The sequence below is a fragment of the Homo sapiens genome, chromosome 3, assembly GCF_000001405.40.
Source record: "Homo sapiens chromosome 3, GRCh38.p14 Primary Assembly".
In the NCBI taxonomy this organism is placed as follows: Eukaryota; Metazoa; Chordata; class Mammalia; order Primates; family Hominidae; genus Homo; species Homo sapiens.
Window position 1 is genome coordinate 143,135,507 of NC_000003.12, and position 11,340 is coordinate 143,146,846.

The following is an 11,340-nucleotide window of genomic DNA, read 5'->3' on the forward strand; positions in this document are numbered from 1 at the left end:
TGTGGGTCAGTTCTCTAACTTACAGTAATGTTATGATTCCCATTCTCCCCCCAAAATATCAGAGGACTTCCAGGAGGTCTTAATTGCTTATAGATGGTTACCTCACCACTCTGATGAAAATATTCTGGTTGTGGTAACTTGCATTTTAATATCCAACATCTTACTTTTTCTTTGTTTCTTTGTGGCAGGTTAAGTACTTTCATTTATATAATTTTTGACAGCCAGCATGGTCTATAACTCCAGTAAATGGCAGAGAACAGAGCTACTACATACTAAACAGAACACATTGTGAAACACACTAGACTTGGGGTATCCTGGAGGAGCACGCATTGGGCAAGAGTAATTTCCACAGTTGGCCACCCTGGCTCTCACCACTGAGTGTGGGGAAAAATCCACAGACCATGGCAATAGATGGTTAGCTATCCATTATATCTAGCTCTCTAGATACACACACAGTCATGTGTGCACAAACATGCATGTGTATGTGTATTTGTAAGGAGGCTGTCTCATAGACAAATAGCATTTTAACATATCAGAGCTGTGCAAGGTGAGGCTAAACAGGGGTCGAGTGCACTTAATGGCCAGCTGATGCAGGTGAATGCATTTTGCTCAGGGAGAAGTACCAGCCCTTTTAGATTAGCTAAGATGATGGTTTGTTCACTTTTTTTTTTTTTTGAGATGGAGTCTCGCTCTTGTCACCCACGCTGAACTGCAATGAAGCAATCTTGGCTCACTGCATCCTCCGCCTCCTAGGTTCAAGCGATTCTCCTGCCTCAGCCTCCTGAGTAGCTGAGATTACAGGTGCCTGCCACCAGGCCTGGCTAATTTTGTATTTTTAGTAGAGACGGGGTTTCACCATGTTGGCCAGGCTGGTCTCGAACTCCCAACCTCAAGTGAACCGTCTGCCTCGGCCTCCCAAAGTGCTGGGATTACAGGCATGAGCCACTGCGTCCAGTGGTTTGTTCACTTTTAAAAAGCAACTTTACATTGGCAATGAATGAGTAGAAAATATTTCCTTCCTTTGACATCCAGAGGATGATTGTTTGCAATCTTGATGTAGTGCCCTGCTCTAGCCACAGTTCTGTGCATATATTTAGTCCTCACAGTGACCCTCTAACATAGCCACTACTCATATCCTTGTCTACAGATGATGCACAGAGAGGAGGAGTAAACTGCTTAAGGTCACACAGCTAGTAATTGGTATAGCCAGTCCATTTCATCCCAGAGCCCATGCTCTTACTGTTCACCTTTAATTTCTCCATTAAAGAGGTTAGGCCAGGCACAGTGGTTTATACCTGTAATCCCAGCACTTTGGGAGGCCAAGGTGGGAGGATCACTGGAGGTCAGGAGTTTAAGACCAGCCTGGCCAACATAGTGAGCCCTCATCTCTACCAAAAAAAAAAATAAATAAAAATAAAAATAAAATAAAATAAAATAAAATAAAATAAAATAAAAAAGGAGGCCGAGGTGGCAGGATCACTTAGGCCTAGGAGTTTGATGCTGCAGTGAGCTATGATTACATCACTACTGCACTCCAGCCTGGGTGGCAGAGTGAGACCCTGACTCTAAAAAGAAAAAAGAAAAAGAATTTACAGGTGTTCTTATTTTAGATTGACATGGCTACATTGCCTGCTGTCAAGTTAAAAACCTAGAATAGGTCTGGTTATTTGCCAAGAAGAAAACATCAGAAAACTCCTTCTCACATGTGGATAATTACTGAAGAATCTTTGTTTTTCTTTTTTTTTAGTTTTTTTCAAGGATACTTCAAGTTATCTAACCCAAATACCCAATTAGGATATAATTTTTTATTTGAATAATTATCATGTATCATCTATATTCTGAAACCAGTGAGCAATGTTAATAGAAATGTCCTATCTAGGGGCATGGGGAAAGCAACTATTTCCATTTTGGTGCAATTTAGAATTAGCTGACATGGAATGATTAGGAAGACTATGTGCTTATTTTCTTAATCAGAATTACAGCCATGGGACCTCAGTGACCCCATTGTTAATAAAGATGCACACTTAACACTTAGTCAAACACGGATATCATTTTTTAGGGATCAGGTCCTCAAGGCATTATGAAGACATCCTGTGATGTTCACAGTAGGTTGGGGAAAATCCCCTCAAAAAACTCCAAACCTGTCATCTTCCACAGTATTATGTACTTAAAAATAAAGACTTTGCTTGTGTGTTTGTGTGACAACTATTACTATTTCATGTGATAACTCTGTGCTCACTGTCAAAGGAGACAGCCACAGAGCACAGAGGTTGTGCATCTCCCAGAAAGTACACTGAGTCTCACTGGCCTGTTGAACAGCCAGTAAGAGACAAGAAGTGAGGGAGGTGTTGATGGATAGAGGTGTTACCAGCTGGTGACATCGTAGTCTAGCATGGGCCAAGGAACAAGAATGATCTGTGGGCTTTTTAATGTCCTTATGAAAGAGTTCTTGGGTGCCCCTTAACTTTTCCTAAATATTCAGAGAAAACATTGTATCTTTTTCTTTTCTTTTCTTTTTTTTTTTTTGAGACAGAGTCTGACTCTGTTGCTAGGCTGGAGTGCGGTGGCATGATCTCAGCTCACTGCAACCTCCGCCTCCCTGGTTCAAGCAATTCTCCTGCCTCAGGCTCCCGTGTAGCTGGGATTACAGGCATGCATGCCCAGCTAATTTTGTGTTTTTAGTAGAGACAGGGTTTCTCCATGTTGGTCAGGCTGGTTTTGAACTCCTGACCTCAGGTGATCGCCCACCTCGGCCTCCCAAAGTGTTGGGATTACAGGCGTGAGCCACTGTGCCCAGTTCAATGGCCTCTCTTCCAGATGGTGCTCTCTGATGAGAAGACACTGTTATGTACCAGCTAGTCACTCTGAACCCTGTTTTATAACCTTTATGTAGTTGGCAAGAAAATTAAATGAGAGGAAACTCCTGATATTGCCCAACACCTAGAATGCCTGGTGTTCTAATATTGAAAGAACTCTACCTTCCCCTCACAAACAAGAGCAAACCCTCAATCCCCAAACTTTTGTTTAAAATTCTGTTTTGGAAGTGAAGAAAATAGCATTAAGCAAAGAAACGAGGGTAAAACAGAAATTCTAAGCCCAGTAATAGAGCTAGGATTAGATTTCGGATTAGATTGCCTTTAATAGAGCAACTTAGCACATGATTACTTCTCTTTATTCTTCCACATGGGCTTGATATTTTTCTCTCTCTGCCCCTTTGTGGAACTTTGGGTAAGGAAAACAACCTAAAACCATATCCTTCACTCTCCTTACTCAAATAAACAAAAACAAACCTCAAATCCACAAACATAAATTTAAGACTTTGATTTGGAACTAAAGGAAATGGTATTAAGCAAAAAAAAAAAAAACAAAAAAAAACAAAAAAACTGTTTTGGTTGAAATGCTCTTTCTCCTTGGCTCACACAGTTTTGCCTAAGGCTCACGGGGCACCAAAGTATAAATTAATCTGGAAAAAAAAATCAAAGGCTTTTAACCATCTGTGCTGTGACTTCAGCCGGCAGAGTCCTGATGCTGCCACACCAACTCTCTTTGCTCAGGAAGTGCATAGGTGCTGTCCTGAGTCCAGAGACAGCTCCTGGTCTGGCTGATTTCCTTGCGGGAGGTGTCAGTGATGGGTCTCTGTTGTCCTGCAGCTCAGCCAGGCAGAAACATAAGTCAAGAGCAGGAAAAGCTTTCCCAGGCCCACCACATCTGAGGTCCTTTCTCTCATAAGCAGTGGGTCTGATTTCACAGTTACCTTCTCTATTACCTGCCTGGGTCTGGCGTAGAGTGGTCATGTTTATGCTGAGAATATTCTTCCATTGGGCCAAGCTTCAGTAGCTTGGAAATTCAAATATAGATTCTCAAAAGTATGTACTTGATAATTCAGCAGAAATTTAAAGAGCTGTAATCTGCAAGGGACACAGACATATAGTCTCTGCCCTTTTGGAATGTATGTTGCAGTAGGAGAGATAGACTAACAAACAGTTCAGGGACAGTGTGACAAATGCCACTGTAAGACAAGTTCAAGGAGGGAGGAGGAGCTAATCCCTACTGGGTGGTTGGGGAGGGATACTCAAGGAGGCTTCACAGAGAAAGTAACATCTCTTCTGGGGCCTGAAGGTGAAACCAGAATTCTCTTAAGTGGTGGGGTTAGGGCCCAGGTAGGGTACTAGACAGAAGGAGCAGTGAGTGCAAAGTCCTGGGAGAAGTCCAGTAGGGCTGGCATATAGAATGTGAGTGATCAAGCTGGAGAGATTGGCAGGATTCCTGGTGCCTTCTGAATCGCATTCTCCCCTTCATCTATAGTCACAGGACCAGCAAGTTTTAGAGAGGCATGCAACTGCCCAGAATAAAGACTACATTTCCCACCCTCCCTTGAAACTGGATGTGGTCCACGTCCAAGTTCTGGCTAGTGAGAAGAAAACAGCGTTATGCGTATATTCTCAGGGCTGTGTCCTTAAAGGGTGTGTCCTTCCTCCTTGTCTTTTCCGCTTCCTGCTGACCGGAATGTGGATGAGGTCAGGAGCCTCCGGGAATGGCCCCACCCCAAGACAGGAGCTGGGTCCTGATACTGAAGGCATCTTACAGTCATGGACTACTCATGTTCAGATGGTTCTGTGAGAGAAAAATAAACTTCTGCCTTATTTAAGTTACTGGTAATTTGGATCTCTGTTGTAACAGCTAGATCTGTGTCCTAAATAATTCACGAGGTCAGCTGGGGCCAGATACTTTTTCCTTCCATTTGAATAGTGTGCTTGTTGAGTGCCCACTCTGTGAAGGCATCGTGTGAGGGGCTGGGGTTACAGTGGTGACCGCGCTGGACAGAGTGCCTCTGGTGAGGCTCTCTAAGCAAAAAAAAAATGGTGATGATGAAGAAGATGACGATTAGAGTAGCCAACGTTTATCAAGAGTTTTCTCTGTGCCAGAAAAGTACCTTACACATGATTTCAGGTAATCCACGCAATAGCCTTATGACTTAACTGCTATTATTTGCTCTGGTTTATAAATGAAGAATGAAGAGGTTAAGTAACTTGTCCAAAGCCCCAAGGCTGTTCTCTATTTTGAGAGCAGTTGCAAATAGGGTGGAGTTGAAGCATCTGTGGGTGATATAGTTTGGCTCTGTATCCCCACCCAAAGCTCACCTCCAATTGTAATCCCCAGGTATGGAGGAGGGACCTGGAGGGAGGTGATTGGATCATGGGGTTGGTTTCCTCCATGCTGTTCTCACGATAAGTGAGTCAGTTCTCACGAGATCTGATGGCTTTAAAAACGGCAGTGTTCCCTACTCTCTCTCTTCCCTGTCACCATGTAAGACATACCTTGCTTCACCTTTGCCTTCAGCCATGATTGTAAGTTTGCCGAGGCGTCCCTAGCCATGCGGAACTGTGAGTCAATTAAACCTCTTTTGTTTATCAATTATCCAGTCTCAGGTGGTAGTCTTTATAGCACTGTGAAAACTGACTAGTGATCAAAGGTATGGAGTAAGGTTGTCAGGTTAGTGCAGGGACTAGGTTTTATCTGAACCCTCGAACTCTCAAGTCACCGCTGTCCTCTATTTGTGGCTGACTTCTTAGCTCTATGATGGACCATACAGTCTGATCTCTACACAGCTGGTTCTTATAACAACCTGCCCCTAACTGCCAACTCCAGGCATAACCTCAGCCAGAACCACTAAAAACATTTTCTTTATTTTTTAATGCTTGATTTTAAAATAATTTCAGACTTACAAAAAGTTGTAAGAATAGTAAAAAGAATTCTCGTATACCTTTCAACCAAGATCCTCCAAATGTTAACATTTCATAAAACCACAGTAAAACTATTAAAAAAATTGATGTAATACTATTGTATAATCTGGAGATCTTATTCACATTTCTCCAATTGTCCCTCTAATATCTTTTTTCTGGTCCAGGTTTCAATTCAGGATAACATGTCACATTTATTTGTTATGTCTCTTATTTTCTTTTAATATGTGACAACCTGCTCCTCAGTCTTTGCCTTTCATGACCTTGACACTTCTGAGAGTACTGGCCAGTTATTTTGTGGAATATCCCTTAATTAGAGTTTGTCTAATGCTTCATAATTATTAAATTCAGGTTATGCATTTTGACAAGAACATCACAGAAGTGATGTTGTGTCCTTCTTTGTGCAACATATGAGGAGGCACATGAGATTGATTTATTCTACAACTGGCAATATTAACTCTGATAACTCGGTTAAGGTGGTGTCTCACAAGGTTCTCTACTGGAAAGTTACTATTTTCCCCTTTGTAATTAAAGAAGTATTTTATGGGGAGATACTTTGAGACCATGTAAATATCTTGTTTTTCATACTTGTACCCATTAGTTTTAGCATCCGCTGATAATTCTTGCCTGGAACAATTATTACTGTGGTATTTGTCAAATGATAATTTTCTATTTCCATCATTTCTTCTATACTTATTAATTAAAATTCTACTGCAAGGAATAGTTTTCCTTTCTCTCTCATTTATTTGTTTATTCAATTATTTATATAAATATGGATTAATGTATTTTATTTTATTCTATCCTATCTAATATAATCACCAATTGCTATGATTATTTCTTTTATTGTTGAAATTGTCCTGAGAGACAGGACTAGCTGGATTTCCTAGGCCCACTAAGAATTCCTAAGCCTAGCTGCAGAAGGTGACCGCACCCACCTTTAAACACGGGGCTTGTAACTCAGCTCACACCTGACCAATTAGGTAGTAAAGAGGGCTCACTAAAATACCAATTAGGCTAAAAGCAGGAGGTAAAGAAATAGTCAAATTATCTATCACCTGAGAGCATAGGGGGAGGGACAGTGATCGGGATATAAACCCAAGGCATTCAAGCTGGCAGTGGCAACCCCCTTTGGGTCCCCTCCCGTTGTATGGGAGCTCTGTTTTCACTCAATTAAATCTTGCAACTGCACACTCTCCTGGTCCGGGTTTGTTCCGGCTCAAGCTGAGCTTTTGCTCGCCATCCACCACTGCTGAACGCCGCAGTTGCAGACCTGCCGCTGACTTCCACCCCTCCGGATCCGGCAAGGTGCCTGCTGTGCTCCTGATCCAGTGAGGCGCCCACTGTGGCTCCTGATCAGGCTAGAGGCTCGCCATTGTTCCTGCACGGCTAAGTGCCCGGGTTCGTCCTAATCGAGCTGAACACTGGTTGCTGGGTTCCATTGTTCTCTTCGGTGACCCACGGCTTCTAATAGAACTATAACACTCACTGCATGGCCCAAGGTTCCATTTCTTGGAATCTGTGAGGCCAAGAACCCCAGGTCAGAGAACAAAAGACTTGCTGCCATCTTGGGAGCTGCCCGCCCCATCTTGGGAGCTCTAAGAAAAAAGACCCACCTATAACCGTCCCAGATTTGGCCAGTTGGTTCCTGTGCATTTTGACATGCCTCATCATTTTTCGAGCATTTATTTTTAGAAGCATAATATGGTCCAAGGTTATCTTTTACTTTCCTTTCTTTGTCTTGGAATCAGCCATTATTCCAAGGAGCCAAATTCCTTTTTATTGGAGAATGGTATTTAGAGATTAACATCTGGATGCTGTATCTGGTCATTCAACCAGAACAATTATCTCAATACAAGAGGGTTTTGTTAGGTGTCGCTGTTTTACATTTTTCATTCTTTCTTCTCAGTTATCTCTTTAGTATCAACTTATTTTTATGGCCTGTAAAGTATCAAGACATAAACTACTATTCTAATAGAAATTTCAGTATATATATATATTTTTACTTACTGTGTTTTAGCAAACATTTATTGAATATTTACTGTTCTAACAATTCATCTATTTACTTGTGAGTACCGACATTTATTGCTGCCACAGCTGAAAAGAGAACAGATTATGGATAATATAACTCTGATTATATACTTGTATGTTTTGGTGTGAATGTATCTATTCAGTTCCTTATCAACTGGTTAGCTGAGTCCATTTTCTTAAGCCACTGGTCAGTTTAGTGGAGCAAAAACCAGCTTGGCTAGCTGTTTGGCATTGTTAGATCTTAATTAACTACACTTTTTCATTTTTTGAACCGTTGTGCTGTTGTGTACATACAACTTTAGTTAAAAATTCAGTTTCCCAGTTGGTAATACATCTGCCAAGATGGTTGAATCATATCAAATCTCAGCAGAGCTGATACGCTGAAACATCCATTTCCCTGAGGGATATCATGGAGTTATATGCATAGTCAACAGGTAATTTATGAACTCTAAGGCCAAATCTTCCAGTGCAAAAGCTAATCTGTTCCATTTTGGTGAAGGATGTCTCTATTTCATTTTCTATGGATTCCTCATCAAAATCACTCTATACATCAAACAGAAGTACGGTGAGAAACCCTTGGAACATGATTCAATCATGTTGATTTAGTCAACAACTTCCCCAGGGCTAATGCAGTTAGAGTAATCATATAAATCAAAACACCTAATTCTTCTTATCTAGAATGTCAAAGACTTTTCTACATTGTGTTTGATGTAGTTGGTGCAAATATAAAGAAGGCAAAATGCAAGATTTCAAGAGAGATGTTAGGAGGAATTCTATATATTATCATAACAATGCACTTTCTTTGGTGTTGCTGTTGCCTCCAGCTAGTTCCTCAAAGGTGAGCAGTTTGTGAAATGATCAAACTTGGGTTGTTATAATAAAAGTAGTTACTGTTCAAGAGATACATCTGAATTGGATGTATACCAGACTTTACAATGGCACTGTCCTTCCAAAGGGAAGGACATCTACAGCAGGCTTGGAAAAGACACACAGATAGCTCTGTTACTTCTTGTGCATTTTGAATGACTCTTTCAACAGAACCATGCTTCTTATGTAGTTCTGTCCTTATAATCGAAAAAAATAAGACCCATTCAAGTCTTCCTCTCTAGCCTCTCAAGACATAACATGATACCATTTGGAAGCCAGTTGGGAGCATCATGTCTTCACCCAAGCCCCTGATGTAGAAGTCAACTTCCCTCATCCCAGCCCATGGAGACTCATCTTCTTATTGGCTCCTGCTGCCCAAACTGGTAGTCCTCAGCTCCAATTTCCCTTTGTAGATTAAGGTACTGTTGCCAGCATAAGAGGTATGGGGCAGGGGAAAACTTGTGACTGACCCAGATCAGCCTACTTGCCAATAGGGTGTATGATTCCTCAGTATTTCTTAAAAACAAATGAGCTGATGTTTGCCAGACACCTTCTCAGAACTCCTTACTGCCCCCCCCCACACATATGCTTCTACTTTGATTCTATGTGTGGTTGCTGCTTGTAATTGTCCTGGAGAATTCAAAAGGGGGTTCTGTAGATCAGTTCTTGCACCTAGAAACTAGCACTTATATTTCCCTCCTGTCTTGGGATTCTGTGTCCATATGATCCCCTAGCAGGACGTCCATTTCTTCAGTAAAGTGGCCATTTTCTGTAGGAGAAACGTGCCCATGTTCTGCCCTGAAGTACTAGACCATCTGTTGGGGAAATGCTGCCATGAGAAGATCTGTTGTGCCATGGACCTACTTTAGTGGTGAAGGAAAGGAACATGGCACAGGCTCACCTCAGGGCCTTTGCACTTGCAGTGCCCTCTGCCTAGAATGCTTTTTACTGAGATTGCTGCATGGCTGCTTCCCTTTTGCCACACATGTCTCAGCTTAAAGATCCTCTCCTCTGAGAGCCTTCTCTGACTACATGGGTACTGTCTTTTCCAACCCCAGTTTTATTTTCTTCACTGTACTTACCATTATCTGATATTTTGTTGGCTCATTTGTTTACTTGACACATGTGGCTAGAATGGGAGCCCCTTTAGAGCAGGGACCTTGCCCGTTTTGGTCACTAGCATTCCCAGGGTCAGTATAGGAATAACAAATCTGTCTTAGAACAAGTCTGCAATGCCTGTGTCAATTAATATCAACTTTACCTAGAAGAAACAAGTCTAGGCTGGTTGAGGTGGCTCATGTCTATAATCCCAGCACTTGGAGAGTCCAAAAGGGGAGAATTGCTTGAGGCCAGGAGTTTGAGACCAACCTGGGCAACATAGTGAGACCCCCATACCACCCCCGCCCCCCGCAAAAAAAAAAAAAAAAAATTAGCCAGGCATGGTGGCATGTGCCTGGAGGTGTGTGCCTGTAGTCCCAGTTACCCTGGAGGCTGAGGTGAGAGGATTGCTTAAGCCTAGGAGATGGCAGCTGCAGTGAGCCATGATGGTACCACTTCACTCCAGACTGGGTTACACAGTGAGACCCTGTCTCAAAAAACAAACAACAAAAAAATCCCTAGGTGCTTCTTTGTTGGCATGCTGCGGTTTCATATATGTCTCCAAATTGTAAATCTGCTCATTCCTATAGCTGTTTGTCTTCTGGAATCTCATTAACACGATCACCTTCTCTAGAGGTTAGAAAAGACGGATTTTGGTGGCAAGTGAAGAGTCATTTGCCTGTTGTAAGTAATTCCATAATGCAGGAGTGCAGATAGGGTTTGCCTTACTATGAAATTCCAGGGCTGGCTGCTGCTTCTGAGGGGACAAGGGGAGTCTGTGCTACTCGGCTGCCTCATCATGCAAGCTGGACTGAGGCCTGCCGTCTGACATCTCTCTCTCCCCACCCTAATTAATATCATGAAAGGGCCATGTTTATGCAAAACCACATGTCAAGAGGCCTTTTGCTCCTAATTTAAACTATTAAAATGCCATTAAGAATTGCACAGTACTGTTTTCCTTCATTATTTCTTGTTGAAGAACAACCATGTGGAAAGGAATGCATTTTGTTTCCATGCAAGTGGGGCTCGTTTTTCAGGACGGTTTATAGTGCCCATTGGCAGAATTTATAGTCCCCAACTCAACCCCTTTACCCAGAGATGGAGTTAGCAGATACAATTTCTGACAGCAAAAATAAGTATAATCAATACAAACATACCAAGGCATTTATTTTAGACATTTGGCTGAATAAATCATCATGGCCACCATGCCGGAGATTTCAACCACCTTCATTTCAACCATGGAACATTTTGGAGCCTGTGATATTTGTATTCTATTTGCTTGTTCCTTTTCAATAAAGCATCAGCATTTACTGTACCGTGGCAAGTACCTCATCAGAGGTTACATCTGCTGCCTGGATGCAAGGCTGGTTATCCAAAGACTCGTTCATATGTCACGGGAAACTTTTCATGAACATAGAGTCTACCCACAAGGCTTGTTATGTTTGAAATTTTGGGCCAATTTACATTTTTTGGAGATTAAAACACACGCAGTTTGATCTCAGCTTTGACCTTTTAAATTGCTACAAGTTAATCTTTGACTAAAAGCCTGGAGAGCGGGAATAATTATATTTTGTGAAAGAAGCAGGTTATGTGCACAGAGGGTGAC

The 11,340-nt window shown here is 41.9% G+C and overlaps 1 annotated feature.

Moving 5' to 3' along the window:
* Positions 7,070-7,593: an enhancer, noted in NCBI's record as "H3K27ac-H3K4me1 hESC enhancer chr3:142861418-142861941 (GRCh37/hg19 assembly coordinates)". NCBI's record gives its function as "activates a minimal SCP1, AML or CMV promoter by ChIP-STARR-seq in primed H9 embryonic stem cells {active_cell/tissue: H9 hESC(primed)}" and the evidence as "EXISTENCE:reporter gene assay evidence [ECO:0000049][PMID:30033119]".